The sequence below is a fragment of the Homo sapiens genome, chromosome 9 (assembly GCF_000001405.40).
Source record: "Homo sapiens chromosome 9, GRCh38.p14 Primary Assembly".
NCBI classification, from domain to species: domain Eukaryota; kingdom Metazoa; phylum Chordata; class Mammalia; order Primates; family Hominidae; genus Homo; species Homo sapiens.
The window spans coordinates 79,967,951-79,995,168 of NC_000009.12; the positions used below are offsets into that span (position 1 = coordinate 79,967,951).

General features: G+C 40.5%; 2 long non-coding RNA genes across 3 annotated transcripts in view, besides 1 other annotated feature; one reads left to right on the forward strand and one right to left on the reverse strand.

Moving 5' to 3' along the window:
• The window catches only part of LINC01507 (long intergenic non-protein coding RNA 1507), a 210,026-nt gene that overhangs the window by 143,421 nt on the left and 39,387 nt on the right, over positions 1 to 27,218 (forward strand). The window contains exons 1-3 of one of the 2 annotated variants that reach the window (NR_121212.1): positions 7,073 to 7,272; positions 7,604 to 7,881; positions 22,007 to 22,114. The exons of the other annotated variant lie outside the window; for it this stretch is intronic. This is a non-coding gene — a long non-coding RNA (long intergenic non-protein coding RNA 1507). Of the gene's footprint in view, positions 1 to 7,072; positions 7,273 to 7,603; positions 7,882 to 22,006; positions 22,115 to 27,218 lie in introns of those variants that run through there. 2 annotated transcript variants of the gene reach the window in all.
• Positions 7,449 to 10,309: an enhancer, noted in NCBI's record as "VISTA enhancer hs1163". NCBI's record gives its function as "enhancer in: branchial arch[6/11] | trigeminal V (ganglion, cranial)[8/11] | cranial nerve[8/11]" and the evidence as "EXISTENCE:transgenic organism evidence [ECO:0001131][PMID:17130149]".
• On the reverse strand, positions 17,263 to 19,932 carry LOC105376099 (uncharacterized). Its single transcript, XR_929981.2, has 3 exons — positions 19,558 to 19,932; positions 18,428 to 18,513; positions 17,263 to 17,414 (listed from the first exon to the last, which is right to left on the reverse strand). It is a non-coding gene; the product is annotated as an uncharacterized LOC105376099 (long non-coding RNA).

Here is a 27,218-nt window from a genome sequence, read left to right on the forward strand (position 1 = left end):
GATGTGTAATATCAGTACTACCTGGGAAATGTGTGTCCCATTGTATTAGTTTCCTATTGCTGCTCTACTAATTACCACAAACTTAGTAGCTTAAAAATACCCCAGTTTATTATCTTCCATTTCTGAAAGTCACAGTCCAAAATAGGCATTGGGCTCAAATCAAGGTATCAGCAGGGCTGAGTTCCTTCTGGAGCCTCTAGGAGAGAATCAATTTCCTTGCCTCATAGCTTCCAGAGACCACTTGCCTTCCTTGGCTCATGGCCCCTTCCTCCATCTTCAAAGCGATCAGGGTAACATCTTCTCTCCTCTCTGACCTCTGCTTCCATCTTTGCATTCTCTCTTTCTCACTCTGATCCTTTGGGCTCCCTCCTATAAGGACTGTTGTGTTTAGATTATACCCACCCCGCTAATCCAGAGTAACCCTTGCTTCTCAAGGTCCTTAATCACATCTGCAAAGTCCTATTTGCCATGTAAAGTAACAGGTTCTGGAGATTAGAATGTGAACATCTCTGGAGGGCCATTGTTTAGCCTACCACATATACCACCATTCCCCTCTCCCATTACCATCAGATTTGCCTTGCCTCGTGCTTGGAATATTATAGTAGCCTCATAACAAGATCCCCTGTCTCTAATACCTCACTCCTCCAATCCAACATGCACACTGCTTCCCATTATTATCCTACAGCTGGGATGTGGCCACACATCTCCCTTCATCCACATCATTCAATGGTTCTTCACTGAACAGAGGAGAAAACCCTCAAACCTCAGACTTTAATGCTGACCTTTTATATTTCTCATTTTTCACCCATCCACAGGGTTCAACCATACATCATGTATTCCATATATCAACTCTACTTGCTATTCCTTCAACATGCCCTGAACTTTTACAAATATCTTCTTCTGCTTTTACTGTTCCTTCAGTAAAGAAGGGACAATTTCCTTCCATTTCCCTACCTTGTTAATTGAAGTTCAAATTGTGATTCCAGGCTCAATTCCAGTCTCTCCTCTTCCATAACACCTAGATCCCTGCTGTCCTCACCTATTTTTACTATCTCTTTTCCTTCTAAAGACCTCTGCATACATTCATGGAGTGACTGTCTCCACAGACTGTGAAGCTCTGATGGGCAGGGACCATAATTTTTTGATTTTTCAAGACTTCATAGCACTTAACACAATGTGTTGTTTGTTAGAAAATGTGAGCAGATATTTGTTTTATTGTATATTTGAGGTTTTTCTTTAAGGACTAGCCAAACAAGTTATAGAGATGCTCTTCAAAATCGTTTTTTAAAGGGAAGGTTATGACTCAAACACACAGATTTGCATATTTTGATTTGCTAGTTTTCTGGCTGGAGGATATTTTCTCCATTCTCTGGTTATACCATCTCTCAGGGAGGGTTAGCCTGATGGGAAAGTTCTCCCAGGTCTTTCCCAATCCATTTGCCCCCAATAGTGTTTCACATCTGCTTTGTCATTTGTGAGCCTCAGATATGGTGCCAAGGGGCCCTTGTCCTCCAACAGATACTTCTGTTCAGCTCTGTCTGCAGTGAATTATTCCTCTCAGTTTCTTATCCAGTATTTAATTCCCCATTACTGAGCTGTATTGAAGGTGAGGGAGGCCTATCTGATCTCCCAAGGGGCTCAGTGCCAGCAGAGTAATTAGCTAGGCTTCATGCCAATTCAGAGCTTTGATCTGGAAACCTATAACCTTCAGTTTCAATATGGTGGTGGAAGAAGGTATGGGGCTAAAGAAGAATGCTCTAGGCTCCTCTTTCAAAACTGTACAAACATTACCCTGGAGAGGCTGAGAACTGGACTACACAAAGTGTTGCTGAAAAAAAAGAAGAAATTTATTGGTTCATTTAACTAATCAAACTCTGACAATGTGTCAGTGGTTTCACAGAAAATTTAAACCAAGGAAGCCTGTATTCAAAGGCGATGAGGCTGATACATTTATTGAATTGTGAATGGCATTTCTCTGGGCACAAGGAGGCTCCATGTGAACAGATATGCTTCTGTGAGGAAGTTTGTGGCCATAATGAAAGTAGTATCTCAAAGAGTCCACTGCGATTTTTTTCCATCTTATAAAAGAAAAAAAATTAGGGAGAAGAAACGTGGCATGATGTATAAAAGGCACATTTGACCAGAAGACACATTCTGGTTTTGTGGCCACTAGCTTAAATACAAAAGATTTCTGTTGGAGTGAGGTTTGAAAAGCTGACAAGAAATAAAGCAGCCTCAGAAAGCTGTCTGTCTATGTGAAGTACTTTGCTGGCACCAACACGGAGTGTGGCAGCTGCATTTGGTATCCAACAGGGAGCTATAGATATTTACTAATACTCTTGGAAAAAGAGATTGGCAAATACCCTCTAAGAGTCCTATATGCTCAAAATGTTGGCTTGGCTGCCCAGGAAGCATGTGGAACCCCAAAGGATGGCACATCACTTCCCTAATGCTTTTCCTTCATCGTGGTTTGGCCATAGCTTTTAAACTTGGGAGCAAATCGTAATGGAATTGCAAAGTGGTCTCATTATGTTAGATGGATTGAAATAACTTATAATGTATGACAATGGGGATGTAGGGGGTTGTTAGTGGTGGCTGGCAGCAGGCATGGCCCATGTTCCGTTAATGAAGGTAGTGGTCTTTGTGGGTGACCAGAGAGAGGACTCTGGGACAGACACTCTTCTTAAAAACACCTCTCCTGCTGGCCTGTCACAATGCTTTTATCTCAGCCTTTAAATTCCCACTGGCTAAGGCTTAGCGGTCTTTAACAACCAATAAAATGCCAGGGCTGCTGGACTGAGTTGAGCATTCAACTGTATGAAGATTTGAGAGACTTCCCTTCAAACCTGTCTCTCTCCTACTGTTCCTGCCATGCACAGTTAACAATTTCCTTATTTGTCCATGGTTTCTCTCACTTCCTCACCACACACATCTAATTTGTAAGTGAGTCTTGCCACTCCTACCTGTGGCTTAATTTTCTTCACCTCAGTGCACTGCCTTGATGATCTCTTGCCTGTGTCCATGCAGTAGCCTTATGGTCTTCTGCCGTGGCTACTGGACATGCATTCTTTGCACCGCCTCCATTATCCTTAAATATCTCCCTAACTCCTTAGCGGCCACGGGATGGTCTCAATCGTGTAGTTCGATAGCAAAAGCCCTTCACAGGCCCATCTCCTTCTACCTGTCTCTGATTCCCTGGCTTCCCACCATATGGGCACCACCTTTTTCCTGATTGTAAAGAAGAACGTTTTACAGCTTCAACTTACTGTGTATGCTGCTACCCCTCTACTTAGCCTGAACTTTCCCTTTCTCTCTGCTTGTAAAGTTTCTTCTTACCTTCCAAAACCCAGATCGTATGTGAGTACTGTTTCTGTAACTCTTCTAGATAAGACTTAGTTGGTCTCTTCTGCTCAAAATAATTTGTACACACCTCCATCAAAGCACTTTCTATCCTGTTAGTAACCCTCTCCCTACTTTCTCAAAGATATCAATAACGTAGCATTCATCTCTAGGTCTTCAGTGCTTACACAATGTCTAGAATAATAAATCTAAATGAAAAAACTGACTGGCTGAATACATAAACCATTCTTGGGAATTAGTGGGTATGATCAGTTGCCCATTTCAGTGGCTCTGTTGGTCTAGCTCTATGACAAACTATAAAGAGAGACCAGTCTCGTTTGTACAACTTTTTCTCCTTTTTTATTTTGAGATAGAGGTTCACTCTTGTTGCCCGGTCTGAAGTGCAATGGCATGATCTCTGCTCACTGAAACCTCCACCTCCCAGTTCAAGCAATTCTCCTACCTCAGCCTCCCGAGTAGCTGGGATTACAGGCACCTACCACCATGCCCAGCTAATTTTTGTATTTTTGGTAGAGACGGAGTTTCACCACATTGGCCGGGCTGGTCTCAAATTCCTGACCTCAGGTGATCCTCCTGCCTTGGCGTCCCAAAGTGTTGGGATTACAGGTGTGAGCCACCACTCCCGGCCTTTCTCCTCTTCTTAAAACACCACCCCCATCATTTTCTTTCAGAAAAGGCTTATGCAAGGTGTTATTTCAATCTTCAATTACAAAACAAGTATTAATGGTATGTCTACTATATCCCTGACACCTTTGAGAATTGATATGTCAAGAAATAAGACAGGCAAGATCTCTGCTTTCAGGGGACTTGTGATCCAGGTTGGGCAAGACAGACATTAAGCATACAAATACACAAATAAGATCATTTTAAATAGTGAGAAGTACTATACAGAGAATAGAAACAGGGGGACATTGGAACAATTGACAGGAAGACCCCTTCTACTTGGATCACATGTTGTTAAAGAAGACTTCTCTGAGAAGGTGCCATTTAGTAAAGAGACAATGACAAGAAGGAAAGAAGCTTCTAACCCTGTGAAGGTTAAGATGTGGGAGAGGGTGGAGTGTGGGAGCATTGCAAGAAAAGGCAGCAGCTAGTGCAAAAACCCTCAAGAAGGAACCAAACGATTGTACATAGGAAGGAAGAGAAAAAAGGTATTGGGTGGTGTTTGAGAGCTGGGCAAGGACAGATGGTGCCAGGCGGGGGTTGGGTAGGGGTGTCTTCCGGATTGCCAGGGGAAGGTTTTGCAGAGTTTTCAGCAGGAGAGCAGCTGGAGACCCGGGCCCTATGGAAGCAGCATCTGGCACCATTCTCAGGGGTTTCCTGACATCATCCTTCTGAATGTGCACCTCCCACTCCTCAACTCACTCCTGTCTCTGCCTTGTTTTCCCTTTCTCTTGCCGTTTGTCTGTCTCTCAGAACTCTGAAGAACAGTAAAAGGCAATTGACCATAAGCAAGTCTCTCTTTCCCTCTGTTTTATCTAAAACTTTCATGTAAATTATATATTCTATGCTCTGTTATATTCCTCTTTATCCTCCAGCAGACTTGATGTTCCAGGAAGTTGCATTGGATTTTTCCAGTGGTTTTGCAAATTCCTGGTATACCATGCTCATACCCTAATTTGAGAAGCATTAGGATACAAGATAGATTGACTTTGTTTGAGTAAAATGGTTTAGGTCTAAACACAGAGTGAGTCTGCTTGACTGGAGGCCTCCAATGAAGACCAGGCAGCTGTGGGAAATCCAGCAGAAAGAAGTTTTGTCAGTGAGCAGAGTAAAAGAAGCAACACAGTACAAAATAGTTGTTGAAAAGGGAAAGTGAGGGACCTCAGTGTCAGATTTTACTTATTCCCTTTACTTATTTTACCATATATCCAGGGGGCACCTGTGTTCTCCTAACAGAAGCTAAATTCCATGAGCATGGACCTGTCTGTCCTGTTCTCAGTGCCCAGAGCACTGCTGGGCACAAAGTAGATGCTCAGTAGCTATTTATGAATGAACGAATAAATGACTAAATGATTGAATGAGCAGAGAAAGTAGCAAGGCCTACAGCCATCACTGATCTGAGACTCTCCCACAAGAAGATCAGGAAAAATGTATCACGAATAAAGAATGAGGCCACCCAGAAATGATTCTGGAACATTGTTATTGACATTGGGGGAGGGGACATGGGAAGAAGGAGGTAGCAAGGAGGCAAAAGGAGAAACTAAATTAAAAATGCATAGGCAAAAACATTAGAAAAAAAGAAACAATGGGTAAAGTTTAAAAATAAGTATAAAATTGAACAGAGATTGAGCATATTTAATCAGACTATAAAAGTCTTTCATAATTACTAAGATGACAAACCCCTTGAAAGGAAGTTTATGAAGCACTGCTCCAATCAGATTCAGAGCCTTTTGGGATCATTTGAGTGATAACTGTGTGGGTGTTACTCCCTGTAGATTATCATTTTCTTTCTGCATTCATTTCCTTCAGCAGAAATGAGAGCCTGCGTCACTCATGGGGCATTCTTGGGCGATGTGTGGGTTTCCCTACCCAAGAACTCATAGAATCACAGAGCTCAGAGTTAACTCAACAGGTCACAGAAGGCTCACCCTGGCCACAGTGGAGAAGCCTTGGCCATCATTCAGAGTGAGAGTCCCAGAGATGCCCACGTAAGAAGATTGTGTCAGCACACTGGGCACATTTTCAACTGGTTGTATTGTGCCATCATTTGTCCAAATGATAGGACCTTTGGGTCGTCCTCATCCTTCAAGTCTCAGCTTTTAATACTCCTTTCCTTTCCTAACTCATCCAAGACTTCCTTCTCCTTTGTTCCCACTGGGCTTTGTACATATTTACAGGATACTAATTATACTCAATTATAGCATGAACAGCTCAATTACCAAGCATGTATTATGTACCACACAGTTTATTCAAGTATTCATTTATTCCAACATTCATCATTCATTCATGAGTTATTGAACATCTTTTAAACCTAAGACACTGTGCAAAGTAAATACTTGGGACACCAAGACAGTAAAACCTGGCAGCTGCCTTTAGAAGCTTAGTACCTAGCGAGGAGCAAAAGGTACAAGGACCATTTGCTGGCTGACTACTGTGCTTTGGCCACTGTGCTGGATACTTTACCTTTGTTATCTCTAATTTCATAACAATCATGTATGAAAGAAGACAGGAACTGGGAAGCGGACACTCAGAGAGTAAACTGATTTGATTGCCTCAAAGCTACAAGGTTAGAAAGATTACATAGCTTGGTTCCCAACTAGCCTTTTGTTGTTGTTGTTGTTGTTGTTGTTGTTGTTGTTATTGCTAAATTCATTACTATTGTTTTTCTTTATCAATCTCCCCATAAATGGCAGCTGCAGCTCCTTTTCTCACTCCCTTATTGTATTACACTATAAGATCTCTGGATTAGGGTACATAGCTCTATCACTAGTTTCTACCAGAAAGTTTATGATACTGTAGCTGCCCCCTGTAAAAATTTGTTGAAAGGAGGCTTGCATGCATGAATAAAACGGCACGCTCCCTACACTAAGCTTCAGATCCCATTTTCAAAGTGGTCTGGCTTTAGTCAACTCTGCTGTCTTCCCCGGTTCCAGGCACGTATTACCTGCATCAGTCAGGTTTCAGCCAGGTATGTGAAACAGGAAGTATTTTAACATGGGTAATTAGAGGCTGGCACATCCATGAGGAGGGCTAGGAGCCAAGGTCAGGCAGAAACTGCCTGTTCAAGAAATCTGGAAGTGCAGGAAGCAGAGGGAATCTTGGGCAGCCTCATAGTAATTTTCGATAGTATACTGGGACTTGCAAGTCCTGTCCCAGCTACTGCTGGAGAAGAGTGGCTTCTCTTTCTCTTCCCCTTCCAAATCCTGGTGAGATCCCTTCCTTTGAAGCGTCTGACCTGGAATCCTAGTGGTAAGGAATGCTGGGAAGTGTAGTTCCTGGGCAGGGAGTGGCGGGGGCAGGGGGCAGGGGCGGGGGGATGCCTCGGTCGACAACAGACAATCTGGCAGTTGAACTCTCTTGTTCATCCTGTCTTTATTTCTTAGGTAATGTTTCTCACCCAGCCCTGAGAGTCCCGGCAGCCTTGCCTCGCTCAGGCAGTACTTTTGTAAATCGCCTTGTATCTTGTTGCCACGCTAACAATGGCAACACCGGAACTTTTGCCAGTAACAAAACACAAAAGATCCATTTCTAACCCAAACAGAAAAATTATTTTTGTTTGTTTGTTTGTTTCATCCAACAGAGACTAAATTATGAGTTCCAATTCTGGGTAGGGCTTTCAAAATAGAGCCCTGACCAGTGCTGAATCAACTTGAAGAATGATGAAGGGTTGGCTTCTCTCTCTCAGCAGCTGTGAGTTTGGTCAGCCCTTTGCAAAGTAAGAGGAAATTTAATGAACCTAAATAAGACATGATCCTTTGTGGCTATAAAAGTTACACTTTGAAAAAAGCTCAGCTGGTCAAGAGCCACTTGAAAATGATGTTACTGCAGGGGAACTCTGTCAAAAGTCTACTCCTCTTGGTGAGTTTCCTTTTCTTTAAGGGAAAACAAAGAGAGGTTTTACAAGCTAGAGAAGGGTCATTTTGCTATTTGAAAGAGTGCATTCAAAATTTGAGGCCCGGTGCGATTGGGAGACATCCACAGTCAGTACTTGTTTATTTGTCCAGCTTTACACCATGTAAGTGATGCGGAATCCTTTCCGCCTCTAATAATAACACCACCGTGGCCCTGAGTTAATGGAAAGCTGGAATGGCCAAATGAGAGCTGGTGCTCAGATTAACCACTGTGGGTCAGACCAGTCCACAGCTGCGGCGGGGGAGGCGGGAGAGAGGTGAAGGGGTGGCGTGGAGGAAGGGCAGAGGGAGCCTGTCTTAAAATATTTTTGCCTAGTCAACAGATTTGATGCATGGCGTTTTTACCACCAGATTCATCAACTGGAGCATTTTTAAAAGGATCGGGGAAAACAACCACCTAATTCACATTCTATGGCCTCTAATTGTGCAAGCAGTACATTTTAGAAACCCTTTGTGCCGAGGAGTCTTCATTTGTGGAGCATTTCGTTTGCTTATACAGTAGGCAACAGTGCTTAAATAGTGTAATTATTATGTGTTTCTAGTTTGCTTCGAATTTTGATTCAATCAGAATTCCTAAACCTGACAGCCTATAATCAAACAAAGGGAGTGCTCTGGAAGCAAGGGATTAACAGAGGGGAATTAAACTGTCGTTTTGAAACAGCTTAGACCAGTATGAAAGCCCATTTAGGAGTCTCTCCATAAATATCCCTTTTGTTTTGTCTAATTGCCGGTTTGAATGTATCAGACTCATCAATGGGATTAGGGTTAATAGATGTTTGGTCACGCAGAACATGCAGAGGAGGAATCTGATACACACACACAAAAATTGCACTTAATGAGCTTAGCAAATGTTTGCCATATTTTTAATGAACCCTGGGGCTGTCATTTAGAAATGCTTAGCAACGGCTTTTCCATCCTTGAAAATAGAGCAACTGAAGGACATTAACACTATGTACACCGTAAATAAGAGGAGCTATTTAAAGACACCAGCCAGGAGGAGGGAATGATGATATTTTTCTTTCTGAGCGCCAGTGATACTTAACACTCTGGGTGTGGGTTCAGTATGTGACAACAGAGTTGGGTGGTTCCGGTTTCCCGAAGGGCACTGCGCGGCGTGAGGTTTTTGCACAGGGTCAGGTAACCTTTTTTTTTTTTTTTTTTCTTAAGTTAAATCTGTTTAGGATCGAATCTCCCACCCTCCTACACCTACCCCTGCTTCTGTTTTCGCACCTTCCTCCTGCCCTTTCCAAGTATTCGTGTATAGGCTTTTTAAAGAGGAGGTTATGCATTTGCTGCTACTTCCCCAGGCCGGATACTGCACTGGCCACGAGGCCGGCTGCTCCTGTATCTCAGCCAAGCGGGCCGGAGCGGCAAGCTCTGGGGATTGATTACTCAGAAGATTGAATGATCCATCTTTGGAGCCCTTGGGATTTGGCTCCGAAACCAATGCAGTCGGCAGTAATGGGGACTTATTGAAGGAGGCCATGTGGCTTGTGCTCTCAGAGCACAGGCTGAGCCTAAAAGAATCAGGTTCTCCTTGGGGAAGGTTTGATTTGATAGACAGAGCACGAAATGCAAGTCCAATGGATTATGGTTAGAGCAAATGAAGGATATCTTAGACCTTTAGTTTTCCACAGAGCCAATTGATTTCAAGGACTTCCTGCTCCCTGCCATCTCTCCTCCAACCCTGCCTCTCAAGGAGCAAACATAGACACCACCTCATTAAAAAAATATATTATGAACTAAACACAGCCACCTTTCAGCTTTGCTGGAAAATGAACAACCCTCCTGTGATAGCAGCTGTACTTTTGTGTTGAATGATGATGTCATAATTCTTATTAGGAGAGAACTGAAAAAAGAAAAAAGGTTGTTTCTAGTATTGTACAGGAGCTCTGTAAAGCCTACAAAATTAGAAAGTTTTCTTTGGAGGAAGCAGGTTGAGGAAAATTAGCATCATGAGGGAAAAGGGCCGGTGTGTTTTGTTCTTGTGGTGGTGGTGGTGGTGATGGTGAGGGTGGGGATGTGTGTGTGTGTGCTGTATGTTTGTGTATTTTGTTACTCATTTGTCATCAAGTACTCCTTGCCCTCAAGCAACTATTAGAATGCCTGGTTTGATTAATGAAGCTAGAGATATTACCAAAGGCTTCATGGTTCTGTAGTTTAAAAACATTGTCAGTAATAAGCTATTTTTCTTTCAGAAGTGTCTAAATTCTTGGCATCCAAACCAGTGGATCAGATGAGTTCCAAAAACTCATGTATTAAATAAATCCCTTAGGTCACAGGTCCACAACCAAAATACCTACAGAGTCTAGATTGGTAATATAATGGAATAAGTCTGGCTAAATGAAGTATTAAGGAATGGTGGAGACTGTCACAGACTAGAAACCACACCTGTCCCCTCCAAAGAGGGCAGGATGCTCTGTTCTTCAACCCCTCTGCTCTGTCTCAACTCTACCATCTTCTTGGTTTCTGGATTTTGAGCTCGATTTTGACTTTCATACCAGTGGTTCACTGACTTTATCTTATCTTTAGGCTTTAAGACACCAGCTAGCATTTTCTCTCAATTCCTCTGAGCACCATCCTACATCCAGGTCCCTCGGGTGAATGAAAGAATGAGTGAGCGAATGAATGAATGCCCTACTGTTTTTTAGCACCAGTGTGTGTGAATATTCTTTTTCCTCCTTCCTTCCTTGCTTTGCGGCTTCTGTCCTCCCTTTTTTTTCTGCATATATACGGATAAGCAAGAAATAGACTCTCTGCATTGTAGACACTATATAATCTAGAGACAGTGATTCAAACATTGTATCATGGCAGGTGCTCTGGCTGCAACACGACAGAGGCCAGAGGGAAAAAGCAGGGGTCCTCTGAGTCTCCCCAGGTAGTACCAGGGAAGGAATCACCAGCGGCCTGAGTGTGTGAAGTTGTCTGTAGGCATTTGCCAGGAGGACGGTATTGAGAAAAATACTCGATATAGATAGGGCAGCTTAGGCAAAGGCATAGAGTGTGAGAATATGGCTTCCATGGAAAGTAACAAGCCTGGCTAGAGATCGAAGGAATTGCAGGTAAGAGGCTAGAGAGGTGGACACTAATTAAAGCCTTAAGTTTGGACCTTATCTTACAGGTATTGGAGAACCATTGAAGGGTTTTCCACTTTCATATCATATTCAGGAATTATTTAGCTCTTCACAAGAAATCCAGCTGCTAACGCTTATTTAGATTTCAAACTCTATATTAAAGGTTCTGCTTTTCCAGAACCTTTGTGTCTGCATGTATTTAACGTTGGGTAAAAACCACAGATTGCTGAGAATATTCAGTGAATGTCCTAGGGTCTACTCTCCAAGGGAACCATCTGAGGTTCCTTAATTTCATAGTTGGGTACCTACAGATGTTCTTCCACTTCACTTGTAGAAAATGTGCTCAAGCTGTTTTTCATACTCCTAAATTCCCTTTACAAGGAGATGCTCAAGTGTGGCTTGACATTAAAGCCAAAAATTTTCTACTACTGGCCGAGCAGCTTAGCCTAGAACAGACAAAACCCTCTGCCTATCTTTCTGCATGCTTCCCTTTTCAGGAATGGTGTTTGGCTATTGAATGGACACCACCAGTTCACTGAAGACAATGTTTTTACTTTTGTCATTTCCAAAATATTTGTGTTAAGGAGTGTTCTATTGTCCTGCCAGTTCAAATCAATGCAATTAGCACTTTGAACGCCTAATGAAGACATGGCAGTGTGCTATGTAAGGTGGACTTACAGAGGCTATGCCATGAAGATCTTTTCTTAAAAAGTTTATAATCCCTCAGGAACAATGACGGGGCTACTTAAAAAGGGGTAGGGAGAACTTTTGGGGAAAAAGCCATATTTTTTACAAAAAACAAAGCAAAACAAGTGTCTTCGTTGCTTGAGACTTTTCAGTTTTAAAAATTTATCAGCTAAGACATTAGAGATCCAATCAGTTCTTTTTAACTTTTGTAAAAAAAAGTTAAAAAGTACAACATTTAAGTCAGAAATTCTCTTTGTGAGTGGAGCGAGGAAAAACCGGGTAGAATTCTTAGGCTAGTCTGTTTAGGCTGAGGTTAGGCTTTTCAGGGTATGGAGTTGGCCCTGCTCATAAACTCTGTAAACAAAAGCCTCACCATGGAGCTTTGAGTGTCTCAGAAATTTAATAAACAATTTTAATATAAGGCCAGCATTGCAGGGGAAAAAGCTAGTTTACATTCTGCTTGTCTTCCAGAAGACTTAAATATATGATAAATATGATAAAATTAAGAAAGATGAGTATTTTAAAACCTTACTAATTTTATCTATTCTTGAGTTTCTTTAAGACTAATTTAATATCTTGGTTTAAAATTTTTAATTTCTAAAAATTGTGGTAAAATACTCATAACATAGGATTTATTACTTAAACATTTTTAAGTCTACAGTCCTAATTTGCTTCAAAATAGGGGAAAAAAGCTTGTTGTGCCAAACTATTCCCTGGAGGAGATCATTTTTAAATGTTTGTATTTAGGTTGGAAAATGAAAAAAGTCCTTTCTTTCCAATAAAGTCAAAAGAGGGAAAGATGGGAACTTTACAGTAAAAAACAACACATTAGCTTTGGACTTCTTACTAAGAGGGTCAGAACAAAGGCCTTGGCTGTAAAACGCCCACCCATTGTGAAATGAGACTGCCATGTCGGTGAAGAAGAGGTGGGAGTGGAGCAAAGGTTTACAGCTGACTGGTTTGGTTTTGCCTCCTGCTGATCTATGGCTGCTGATCTGTTTGGGTCTTTTCGGGAAGGGGGCAATGTTTGGGTTATTTATTCTGACAGGAGGCTAGATGCTATTTCCATCTGCCTTGGAGTATTTGAGGAGATAAATGTCTGCCACATCCTGATGAATGGCCTCTATGGTTCATTGCCACAGAAACTGAGTTATGGCTCCTATATTTCATTTAAGAGAAAATTTCAGCCATCCAAAGTATGCACTGCAGCCTTCCATTTGACCAGGACAGCAAAGTGTTTTTCTGTATAAAGGACAAGGTTTGCACAGTTGCACCTTAGGGGGATTGAAAGGTAGGGGATAAATAGAAAGCACTCCATAAGTCAGGCTAGTAAATCCAGTGTAGCCAATTTAAAATACGAAAAAGAATCCAGGGAACAGAACGTAACAGTTCTGTGTCCTGGCTGAGTTTAAGATCATCTTTTCCTGTGAACTCACATCTTCAGTCAGTGGAAATCATTCCAGAGAACATTATTTTTAAGAATATAAAAGGGGGAGCATATAAATTTAAATGCTATCAAAAGTATCACAAGATATTTATTTTTTAAGATATGTGAAAAAGACACAACTCGTTGGCCCATATACCAATTATATGTATCAGTGCATTGAATGAAAATTTATTCTAGACACCAACAGATTTTCAGATACCAAATGGCAAGGGGATTATAATTGTAAATAGGTTTGTCATAACCTAGTATACAGAGGCATATATATCCTGTATTCATTACTTACTGATATATGAACACCTACATATGTTGAGTGGCTTGTACGGATGGGGTGGAGTATTTGTTGCATGAAAAGGGGGAAATATTTCAGGGTAATACAGCCCAGTGGAATGTGTGAAATCAGTACCTCTCGGGAACATGTGCCAGTCACCAGGACCTTTGGGGAAACAGACAAAATAAGGAGGAAAGACCAGAGAATGTTTGCATTCTTGTTAGCGAGGAAATGAGGTAAGCCAAGAATTCACTCGGGATTTAATCAAACTGCAGAGAAAGTCCATACATGCCAAACTGTACCTTTTCTGGTTGTCTGGGCATTGGGGCCATACTTTATGAAAAAGCTGTTATTATGAGACAAAACAAAAAGCTTACTCAGATAAAATGATATCTGAATGAATGCTAATTTACAGGTGAAGCCCAACCGTGGTCTAGCCAGCTCTACTTTGTGGAGATGGTCTGGAGAGAAATGTTGGAAAGTTTTGTGCCGCAGACCAAAGATTAGGACTTGGGGAAAAAGACTTGGAGTTACGTACACAAGAGTTAATTTAACTCTGCATTCAACAGAACTTCTAGGTATGATGCTTATCTATGGTTTCTCTGACTTTGGTCAGTTGCAGACACGTGTTGCCTTGCCTAATTTAAACATACGCCACTTGATCCTTCCTGGAAGCAACATTGGGTGAAGTGGATGCTCATCCTCCCAGTAACCTATGTGAGCTGGTGTGGGACTGAAGCAATTGCAACAGCACGTTGTCCCACCTAGGGTGTGTGCGTGTGCATGTGAGTGTGAGTGTGTATGAGTAAAGTTTCCTATAAATCTAACTTATTTTCCCATAAACTGGAGACTGAAGAAAAAAAAAAAAGAATACAACCTCAGAGTACTTGTTCTTATGCTAATATGATGGGACAGTATAATTTGGAGCTGAATCATGAACACAGTTTATGCAATTATTAACCTACAGAAAGAACCCCTACTTATGAATTACATGTGGCTTCCCCCAAGAAACCTTCTTTAATGCTCTCATCCACCTTTCCCCATCTTTGAATATTGACTTATCTGCCCCTTTCTCCTATTGTCAAAATATTCTGTGCATGCCTCTGTTATTGTACTGTCCAGATAATAGCTGGCTTGCCTTTTCAACTGGACTGTAAATTACTTAAAATCATTTGCATTCCACAATACTAAACATACTGAACACATAGTAGGTGTATTAGTCCATTTTCACACTGCTGATAAAGACATACCCGAGACTGGGCAATTTATAAAAGAAAGAGGTTTAATGGACTTACAGTTCCACATGGCTGGAGAGGCTTCACAATCATGGCAGAAGGCAAGGTGGAGCAAGTCATTTCTTACATGGATGGCAGGAGGCAACGAGAGAACTTGTGCAGGGGAACTCCTCTTTACAAAACCATCAGATCTCATGAGACTTATTCACTATCGTGAGACCAGCACAGGAAAGACCCGCCCCCATGATTCAATTACCTCCCACAGCGTCCCTCCCACAACAGGTGGGAATTCAAGATGAGATTTGGGTGAGGACACAGCCAAAACTTATTGGTAGGTGTTCAAATAATGTTGAATGAATGGATGTTTACAAATAAATCATTCTGAACCTCGAAGGAAAAGCTTATTGTGTCCACTGCCTCCAAGATCATTGTTTCCTAAATGGATGTAAAAGGGCTATTTCAAAGCAGAGGTGAAAAAGAAAAGAAAATCCTATTTATCAAGTTGGAATATATTTCTAGTTGATGAATGGTAGAAAATAGGCTATCCAAGGACTGACCGACTATAGAATTCTGCTAATTTTGAGTGCTGTGGACTTAGAATCTGGGCTAATTGTTGCATTTGACTAATTAAACTCTCAAGGAAAGGCTTGGCATGACCACAATTCAGGCAAGGCAGGAAAGATAATCGCTATGGTCTTAAAGCAAAGCAGGAGCCCAGGGGGTAGCAGGTATCCCTGGGTTCAAATCCTGACATCACCACTTAACAATAGGAGTAATAAGACCAATTTCCCATGGTATTTTAAATGTCCAAAAGGATAATGCGTATACAGAGTGTTAGTTTCTCTTCCTCTGTGTCTCAGAAGGTGGTTTGAATTGTGTCAGGTGCTCTGAGTGCTGCCCAAATTCTCCTTCTCTGTTCCACCAAGTTCCTATTCTACAAAGCAGACCCTGTAAGAACTTTCAGGGAGTCTCACTAATCCTTCAACACCAGCCACATCATTACAATGAATGAATTTCCATTTCTCCTTCAACGTATAACGCATATGCTTCTTAAATGTTCCCCTGTATCCCAATCAATTGAAACTGAATCTCGAATAATACGCTGAAGGAAGCTCCCTATTTAGAAAACTGAGGTGCATTTCCTCTGACTTTAATCAACACCACTCTTTCAGGCTTGCTGGTTAGCCTCTTTAAAACCACCCCTACTCCAGGGAAGGGGAAGATAGATCTCACTGGAGAGGTACAGCTGCATCTTTGAACTGGCTTATCATTGCCTAGATTGTGGCAACAACTCCTCAGGATTGAAAGATGCACAATTTGTATACTGGAACTTGAGGCCAAAATCTATACTGGTAATGTTGCTTTACATCTTTCCTATGAATTAGTGTAGATTTTCAAAAGAAACTATAAGTACAGCAATGGTAGCAAAGCAGAATTTGCTGTAACTTTCCAATTGCTGCTAGTTTCAATAGCCAGTTCACAACAACCTTCTTTATTCTTTTGGATTGTTTTATTTGAGCCTCTTTTTATCTGCTTATCAGATAGACATGGATAGACACCTGTAAATCAGTTAGCTTCATCTATATTAGACTTTTTTTGCATGTAAATGATCACATTAAGGTGAATGCAAATGTATCTCACCACACCTTTTCAGAAGCATAAATTTAAATTTTTAAAATTTTATGTACATGTGGGTTTAGGAATACCTCTGCTCTTCTTCTTGTTTTTGCCTGTCAGAAGATCAATGATGTATCAAAAATCACAACAAGTATTTATAAAGAAAACAGATAGGATCCATTAGGTTTTATGTCACTGCTTTTTAAAAGTATAGTTTCTAAATATCAATTTAAATTGGACTTTGATTTAATAACTCATCGAGGGTTGGATACAATTTCAATTGAGTAATGCTAATATGGATAGAAGTTGGAGCCAGGCCAACATAATTTGAGTGCCAAGGGACCACACCTAATTATTGTTACCCAGCCTGAGATGTGATGCCTTGTCTTCTGAAACCAGCTGAAGTGAGGGGAAGCATGCCAGGGAGAGGGCATGCCAGTTTGCCCTTACATGCCCTAAACTTCCTGCCTAGGTTGATTAGTGGAAAGAACATGGGCTTTGTCGACAAACCTCAGATTGAATTCTGGCTGTTGCACTTGTAACCTTGAGGCCTTGAGCATATTACTTAACCTTTCTGAGTCTCAGTTTCCTTTCCCATAAAACAAGGATTATACCTCCCCTGCAGTGCTGTTTGTAAAGATGAAATGAAATACAATAACTCATGTCTGATCACTAGGCCAGCACACAGTGGCTCCTCCTATTCGTTCCTTTGCTTCTTTTTCTTTCTGAGTAGATCAGATTAATGCAGAGCATTGTTTTTGGCAAGTTGTTGAAAACAGCTACTTCTGTATAATGATGCTGAGATTCACTAGGTCTTTAATACTGTGAACAGGGATACTCACGAAAGTTATAGAGAGGCTATATGAATTAGAGCAGGATTGTTTCTTAAAATATTCTTCTCATTTTTCTTCCTCTTAGACAAGAAAAGGAAAATGACCCCATAGAATAAAAATGTATTCTGATTTCCCTACCTCTCCTTTAATTTTATTTATTTGTTCATTTCTTTCATGTCAAATTATTTATTTATTTATTTTCGGCAGACTAGAGAACTTGAATCAGAGCTTTAGAGAACAGAGCAAATTGCTGTCTTCATTCTCCATCCTGGGCCAGTCTGATAGTTTCCTCGAGGCAGATCTCCTTTGTGATGGTCTCCTGTAAATCAAGCACAGGGATGCAGTTGCATGGGTCAGCATGTAAAATAACATGCTGTCCGCATAGAACGCGATGTGCAAAGTACCAGCGTAACTTGACATCCATGCCCCTTTAACACCTGTTTCCATAGCTACACTGTAATCCAGACATTTGAGAGGCAGACTTGCCTCTGCCAGGCCTGTCATTTCGGGGAAATAAATTAAGAAAGCTGATGACAAGGCCTGGATTATACAATTTCTTTAAAGTACAAAGCAGACCTGAAATCTAACCAGGAACGAACAGAGTTCAGATAAAATGGATAAAATCCATTTCCGGTAACCTTTGTAAGAAAATTTGAATGCAGCCTCCTTTATACATTTTGTTCCCCGACTCCCAGAAGCAGCATCATATGTTACACCTGGCAGCCGTATTTGTGGCACCATATTTTTCTTATTTTTAAGCGGTGCTACCATATTTTTTAAAACGAAAGTTTGGAAAAAATAAACAGATGGGAAGATACTGGTGGAGGGGGGACATGGTGCAAAGAGAAAAAGAGAGAAAGATGGAGTTAGGCAAGTGCTAAAGGGCAGAGCGTCAGTATCAGACACTGAGATATTTGCATATTCACAATATGTTTCTGGCCCAGAGCACGTTTTTCTGGCGTTCTGTATGTATTTCTAGGTCTCTATATTTATCCATGTCTCTGGCTACATATGTAAGACTAACTTTAGAGGTGGTGTGTTTGCTGGATGCTTTGCAGTGGTACTTGAAGAATTTCATGTTAAATATGCACTGGCAGCAGGAATGAGCTGCTCTCACATAGGAAGGGAAATAGGAGGGAGGTGGGGACCCCAGCCATGGTTCTGCAGCGTGCTGGCCAGCTGGAGACAGGGCCTTTCAACACTATTTTCATCAAGTGGTTCTGAGCCAGTTCATTTATTTTTGGATTCTCCTTAATTCCAAATCAAAGCAGGTGATACTAAAATCAGACTATGCTGCATGAGAACAACTACCCTCCTCCAAAAGACCCTCACCATGCTATTTTTCACCTCGTGGAATCCAGGTAATGCTTGCTTGCTTGAGTGCATTTATCTCCTTATTTAGTATGCAGGGGAGAAGGCTGTTTTGGAAGCAAAGAAGGTAAAGAGAGACTGAGTTTGAAGAAGGGGTTATTACAAGGATATGTGCTCTCCCAGGGACATGGCACTCGCCATTACGGGAATGTTCTCATCACTAGTTGCTTTATTTTAATGTCCTTTTCTTCATGCTCATGGCCATCCCAGGTAAAACTGATGACTCAGCCTGATTATTATTTTTGGATCATCAGTAAAATTTACTTTTGACTCAATATATTAAAAACTTGTCGGATCGCGTACAATATTAAACATTGCCTTTTAGTGATGTTCTAAATTTAGTATTTTATTTAAAATTGCTTTACAAGAGAAAATTTGCCAGTGGGTTTGCTCTGATTAGGTGAATCTCTTTTCTATATTGAAAAACAGAAGATAAAATTTATGAAGTAAAATTATTAGGCTGGTGCAAAAGCAATTGTGTGTTTTTGACATTAAAAGTAATGGCAAAACCTCAATTAGTTCTGCAAACTAACACATGAAAACTGAAGAAAACCATATATTATTAACTTGAGGTGATGTGTGTGTGTATGCATATATATATACATATATACATGTATGCATATATATATATACATATATACATGTATGCATATATATATACATATATACATGTATGCATATATATATACATATATACACATGTATGCATATATGTACATATATATACACACACATACGTATATAGTATATGCACACACATTTAGTTTTTTTTGTTCATACTAAAGTTTTATTTACCTTAATATGAACAAAAACAATGAACTTTAAGTTAATATAATGGAGGTAATATTTTGAAATGTTTTATTGTGCCTTAGTCCTTTGCTTTTGCAGTTATAAGCTCTTAATTCATTCCACCCAAAGCATCCGTCTGCACAGGGACTGTGGATAGAACATGACGGATGATATTCAACGTACAACCTACGACTATGCAGTGAGAAAAAAACCTGTAAGACAGGCTATTGACCTGAAAGAAGACTTTCTATTCCAGTCTAGAGAGCTACTTCTTTAGCCCCTGATGTCGCTGACAGGCTTACCTGCCTTAGGGAGTAAATTTTGATATAGTGGCAGTGTAAATAATGTGATCCCCCTTCCAGACTCAGGCAATGGTAGGAAGGAGAAGAAAGAAAGAAGAAAGAAGTGAAGATAAGTGAGTTCTGAGTTTCATCTTTTCTGGCTTTCCTCCAGTCTTATCTTGTAGGCTCTACCATCCATTCTGAATCTGAGATGCCACCATATCAAAGTCTCATGGTGGCAGAGAATGTGCTGAGGGTCCCCAAGACCACTTCCAGTTTCAGGGATTTGCTAGGAGGACTCACAGGGCTCAGCTTGTGGTTGTACTCACGGTTATGGTTTATTACAGTGAAAGGATACAAAGTAAAATCAGCAAAGAAAAAAAGGGCCTGGAACAAAGTTTGGTGGAACCAGACCCAAGCTTCTAAGAATCTCTCTTGGTGGACTCTCATTGGATGTACTTGATTCTCATGGCAACGAGGTGTGACAACACGTGTAAAATGTTGTTTACCAGGAAGCTCATTAGAAACCCAGTGCCCAGAGTTTTTACTGGGAGCTGATCATGAAGGTATCCTCTTCCTGGCAGTTGCCAAATTCCAGGCTCCCAGAAGGAAAACAGGTCTTCAGCAAAAACCACATCGTTTGCACAATAGTTGAGAGACAGTGATCCGTTCTTATTAGTTAATATGGTGGAAATCCTCCCAAAATCCAAGTCCTAGACACTAGCCATGGGATAACCTTGTAAGCAGGCCTAAGGCTAGCAGTCTCAGGCTTGCTGTGACTCTTTTCTGCATAGAGGGTAATCAGGCAGAGAGGCTCTGGGATAGGCTTTCCTGGCAGCCTTCAGTTGTCAAGTGGTATAAGTGCTGTATTAAATGATCATGGGATTGCTGTGGAGTCTGCTGTGAAATGAGATTGATTGTGCAAGACAGGCTGGGATGGGTGGGGATCACTGGTCCAGGTGGACAACACAGCAGTTAGGATCTGTAGCCAGCAGGAGTAAGGGGGGGACCAAGTTGTCCAGGGAATACCATCTAGAACCTTTCCCAAGGAAAGGCTGAACATTACCTAGCAGACAGTTTAGGTTACAGATCATTGCTTTAAGCCAAAATGCATACTCAATATATTTTATCTCCTACTCACCAGTGTGTAGTCATTTGGGGCAACAAATCCAGGTTAGAGACTGAATAAAGAAATCACATTTCCCCCCACATCTGCATTGTAATGTGACTTAAATTCTGTGCCTTTACTGTACTAGTAATTTTTATTTAATTTGTGAGAAAGGGTACTAAAGATATTTTCCATTTCACTATCCTAAAGCCCTTTTCCCCTTTTAGATATCTGCCAAAACTAAGGGCATTTTGCCACTAGGTGATGGTACTTTCCAATGTGCTTTAAATTCAAAGTCCAAGATACATCCAAATACAAAGCTCTTTTAAAGCCACTACGTGATAGTCTTCAAAAATGGCTGCCCACAATCCTATACCTCCCTTACCCCCACTAAGGTAAGGAGTCCTGATTCATCTAGTTCTCCTTCCGTGAAAACTGGGTAGGCCCTTGTGATTTGCTTTGATCGATACAATGCAGCAGGAATCCATAGTGTAACAGTCCTGAGCTGTCTGTTAGAAGCCTGACAGCTTCCTCTTTTTCTCTTGGGAAGTCTGCTGCCATGTAAGAAATCCAACCACCCCTGAGACCACCGGGCTGTGACTATGTCCAGTTATATATTTGGCAAGGCCGTGGGGAGGAGTACTTAAAGCCCTGCCAACAGGAAGAAGCAACGCCCCAGACCTGTGACCCCAGCGGAGCTGTCCACCAGGTTCCCAGCCATCTGCGTCATCCCAGCTAAGACTCCAGCTTTCGTGGAGCAGAGACACTCTTGCTATGCAAATTCCTGCTCTACGGATTCACAAGCAAATGAAATGGCTGTTATTTTAAATCATTAAGTTTGGGGGTAGTTTGTTATGCAGCAATAGATAACTGAAACACAGAAATTTGCATTTTATTTGCCGATAAAACTAAAAAGGTAATCTTCTAAAAAAACACAAATGTTCTTTATCACCTATATGAAAAAGCTTTAACTTATGCTTTTGGAGCCAAATTATCCTTTAAGTAGCCTAAGTTTACCAAATCTTTAAGTCCTTTTCACATTAAAACGTCTTAGGGCTTTTGACAGTACAGAGCAGGGAATGCTAAAATTTAGTGTCTGTTTTTGGAAGTAGGCAGTAGAAAATTTAGCATTAATTCTGTTACTCAGAAATCATTAACTATGTTAACTGCTTTGGTTAATTGGTTACTGATTTTTGCCTAAGAAAACATTTTTTACTTTTCATTATACAATTTTTCAAAAATATACAAGATAGGAAATTAGTATAAGGAACCCCCCTGCCACGAACCCTTCAGTCGACATCAATGATCAACATTCTGTCATTCTTCTGAGAAATCAATCTTATGATCATCCTTTTCATGTAGATTTCCTCCTAGGCACTTTTGTCTGAACCACGTGGCACAAATTGGCAGAGAACAAGGAAAAGAAGAACAGAGGAAGGAGAAAAGGAGAAAAGTCATTCTGCTGAAAACGTAAGAATCTCTTTTTTCATTCTCTTTAATCAGATGACTTATTTCTCCACTTAGCACTCTAGTTAGTGAATCAAGGAATATTGACTCCAAAACTGAAATAAAGTGATTAGCCTCACTAAATCCCTAGCAATAACTGCAGTTCAGACTTTAATAAGTGCCTCTGATATAAACCCTTCCAGAAATTATTTCTCAAAGGGCATCCTCTTGCAGAAAGGTTTAAACAAAATTTAAACAAGATTTTGAACATAGATTTACAATAGTTTCATGACAAAAGCTATGGTTTAAAATGTTTTAGAGTTGCTGTGGGTTTTCGACTGAGGACATAGTGTGTTATACATTAGCTGTTTAATGTGTTCAGTTGTTGAATCCAAAATTGCTTGGAAGGTTTAAACGTTGGCAGCCTTGAAAACAAACACTAGTCCGTGTTCCCAGAGCCTAAATGAAATCAAAGCAAACCTAATCATTTTCTTTCATATGACTAATAAAGATGTGAAAAAACAAGCTTCAGTTTTACATTTGAGCAGTAATCTTCTTAATTACATCTGGGTTACAAAATGCAAGGCTATGGTTCTTCTCCATAGTTGTAAAATGAAAGCTGAACGTTTATGTATTCCTTCTTCTGCATCATGTGACCAGGGTGGGCCTCATAAGAAGAAGGCAATGGGCCAACAGGAAATTTAATAGAGACCCTGTTTCTCTTTCTTTATTTGTTGAGGGTGGGTGGGGGGAGGTGGAAATCTTTGTCAGAGTTGTATTTATCTTGGGGTCAGAGTGTTCTCTCTCAGTTTATGAATATGTGGTGGGACAAAATGAAAGTGTAGATTAGATAAATATAAGTAGGTAAAAATAGGAATTTGCTGATAGAAGGCTGCTGAGCATTTTGGCAGGCCTAATGGTTTTGGAAAGCTTTTTGTAAGGCCGAGCTGATTTTGTTTGCTTCTAAAACAATGATAGGCCCTGAGTGTTGAGCTGTAAGATACCTGCTTTTATAGGTATTTCCCCATTGAGGTAAATTAATTGTATATTTCTTTTTGAAGGTTCTTAAAAAATTAAATTCTGTTGGACACACAGAGAGCACCATGAATATCAGCACACTCAGATGTCATAAGTTTCTTAATTAGGGTTTGCAAAGAACATCACGCTAAAAGAGGAATATCTGAATGAAAGTTTTGATTAACTTTTCTCTAGTGAGTCTTGTTGCTATATTGCTACATATGCTTAGATTTTTTATACAATGGTCAATGTCTTAGTTGTTTTATATGTGAAATAGAGCTAATAAAACCTGTACTATCTACCTGATATTGTTCAAAAAAATTAAATGACATTAACCAGTGGCTTGAAAACAGGTTGAAAAAGTTCAAGTAGAGGATGAAAACCTGATTGTGAACATTAGTGTTATTTATAGAGTGCTATGTCATGCAGAATAGAGGTTAGGAAGGGGAGTTTCAAAGAAACATGGCAGATGTTACTATTAATATAAACAAGATTGTAATTCTTAAGTAAATAATTTGTTTCCAAGACTAGGAAAATAGATAAAAATGAAATAAATACATGGATTTTATCATTATTCTTTCCTTGCTATTAACATTCATTGGTAGATCAGTAGGTATTTGGTCTTTATTCAAAGAATATATGTGCATTGTGTGCAAACTTACACATACACATTGATTTTCTAGCAACTGGTAGAGTCTGATAACACTAAGTACAGCAATCTAAATGGACATCATTGATGTAAAAAGTTAGAAAAAGAGTTCTATAAAGGACTGAGCTCTACTAGGGGAAATATGTCACTACAAGAACTTGCTTAACCTTCTGTTTCTGTTTTCTATTGCTGCATAATGAACCACCCCAAAATTTAGTAGCCTAAAACAATAACTATTTTATTGCTATCATTCTGAGTGAGGAATCATGGCTGGGAGCAGTGGGGACTGGCTCATTTCTGCTTCACATGGTGTGAACCAAAGCAGCTCAGCTGGGCTTGAGGATCCAAGGTGGCCTCACTCACAGGTCTGGGATTCAGTGCTGGCTGCTGGCTGGGGCTCTTCAGTCCTTCTCTGCCTGGCTTCTCTCTCATCCTCCAGGGGACTCTCTTCACATGGCCTCTCCTCCAGCATGATAGCAGGTCTTTACATGATGGCCAGGGTCCAAAGGGCAAAATGGAAGCTGCAAGATCTCTGCAGACCTGGATCCAGAACTGAGAACAGCAAGTACCTATCTCTTGGCCTCCTGTGATGTGAGAAAAACAAACTCCTAAATATTCAAACTATTCTGGCGGGGTATTCTGTTAGGTGGAGTTATGTTATCATTCCTGTCTGCTCCAACACCAAAGCCTGGCTTGTCTGGAGACTGAGCCTTTCTTCCTCTGCCCTCTGTGTTGTTTAGTGTCAAACACCAAGGCTTTCCTCAGGTAGCCAGTACTATCACTGTGTGGATTATTGTTTTAAATAAGAATGGTGAGCATTTCACCATTTTATTTGCTTTGTTTTGGGTTAAACCCTTGTTAATAAGAACATTTAATTAAACAGAACATTTATGTTGCCCTGAGAAATACAGTTTTTCTAGGTGAATTTGGTGAGAGGCGACTGCCTTGTGAATTTCAAAAAGGATGCTGCAGAGAAGGAAATGGTACAGGAAGAAGAATTAACTGGTAACAACAAGCATTAATATTCATGACAGCCCTCCAAAGAACCTTAAAGAAAAGGGAGACAGCCAAAGCTAATGGATTATTTTCATAAACCTTTACCTCAATAAATAGTTGTAGAGAATTAATCTAGCATCAGTATGATCATAAGATTCTAATCATACACTCTTCCTCAAATGTCATAGCTGAGAACAGAAGTAAACCATACCTTATACTTGAATACTTGTTAGCTAAATCACATCTTGGCTGGACTGCATGAAATCTGATAGATTGCAAAGTAGCAGATGTGTGGACTGAAAATCAGAAGACAGAAATCAGCTACTTCACTATAGCCTGCCCTTTCCAAGGCTTCTGAACTTTGAAAGGGATGCTGATTAATTATTAGAAAATTGATTCAAGGACACGAGAACTTAAAAACGCAACAACAGATCACATGAAAATGGCTATTATCTTTGTGACAGAAAGGGTCCTTTCCATGGCTTACTGTGTCTGAAGGTAATCTGCTGAAGGGAAGCTACAGAGTAAGGCACAGGAGGGAAAAAGCCAGATGTCATTAAAAAGGTCAGTCCAGCGAGGCCTTCTAACCTTGAGCTTCATCCTTTCTCCCTTTCTTTCTCTCCCTTCTCCTCCCCTTCATGGGGATCGGCCACTCTTGGTGTTTTTCCTCAAGTGAACATAAAAATGGGTCCAAATCATCTAGTCTTGTTAGACTGGTCCATAGATTTCTAGCCATGAGGGCCTCTTTATTCCAGAGCTGTGTAATAAGCTGAAATCCTAGATCATTTACTCCACAGAGGACCTAGGGGACTGCATTCAAAAGACAAAAACTCATGTTGTGAACACCACTGAAGAGAAACACCCTCTCTGTTGACTGGTCACACTTTCCATTCGTGATCACAGATGGGCACACAGTGCTATTTTTTTCTTAGCCTTCGGTGTTGGTTTCTCCTCACCTTCCTGACTGCTCAAATGTTTTGGTGCTCTAGGACTTCGGAGGAGCCCTCTTGCCTTCGCGCTTTCCTTGGGTGAATACTTCTAGGTCTGTAACTTTAAATATCTATCTATATGATAATAACTTCCAAATTCATATCTCCCAACCAGATTTCTCCCATAAATTCTGGGCTCCTAGATCTACATGCTACTTGACATCTTCTTTTAAATGTTGATAGGCATCTTAAACTCAACGTATTTTTAAAAGTCTTGATGAATGGCCCATCTCCATCAACACACAAACACACACACACACACACACACACACATCCCTTCCTTTTCTAGGACTTCCTGTATCAGTAAAGGCGCCCTCCCACCTGCACTTACTCAATTGTTCAAGCCAAATAGCTAGAAGACATTTCTTATTTTTCTCTTTTACTTTCCCCAAAATTGATTCTATCAGCATGTCAAGGCAATTCAATCTCTAAAACATATCTGGAATCTATCTTATTCTCCCGCATTTTTACTATTAACACCTTAGTCTAAGTCTGTAAGCCACCATTGCAAATGGATTAAGCCACTCTCTTGCTAACTGTTTTCCTTCCTTCTTTTTCTGACTACAGTTGATTCCCCAAACAGGAGTGGAAGCAGTCTTCTTAAGAATGTAAATCTGATCATGCCACTCCTCTGCATAAAACCATCCAATACCTTCTCAGACACATAGAATAAAATCTCATTGCTTAAAGCCCTGCATGATCTGGTCCTGCCTGTCTCACCCACTGATCCTACAGCCCCTCTTGCCTTCTGAGTGTGTTTCCAACCCATAGCCCTTTATCTCTCCCTCAAGCACATCAAGTTCGCTCCTGCCTTTGATCTTTTGCATCTGCCATCCTTTTTTGCCTGGAATATCTTTCCCTCAGAACATTTTATGGATGGATTTTTCTTGTCATCTAGTTGTCATTTCAGATGCTGTCTCTTCAGACTGTCCCTTTCCAAGCACCAATTGCATCACTCTTTTTTATTTTCTTCATGGCACTTCCATTGTGTGATATTGTTTATGGAATATCTCTCCTGGTAAATTGTGAGCTTCTGAAACAGGGACCATACTTGTTTACTTCTCTACTGAATCTCCCATACCTAGAATAATGTTTGGCACATACTGCTTTTTCAGTAAATATCTGTTCAATGTAAGATTTCAGACTGGGCACCTAGATGTTCAAAGCCTAATCCTCAGGTGAGTGAACATATGAGTGATGCATGACATTTGATGATACCGCTCCTAGAAAGGACTCTTCTCCTCCATACCCCAAATCCACCCCACTCTATTTGGATGAGTTTGTCGTCTTGGGATTTTATATGCCAAAATATATATATATATATATTTGGGCCTAGTAAGATTCCAAAGCAAGGAAGGGGTATTTTCTTTTTTTTTTTTTTCTAAATCAAATATTTGTCCAAACATATTTCAATAGGTATTGGTATTTTTACTTTATTGGAGAGAATTATTTTCAGGACAGAAAATGTTCTTTCTAC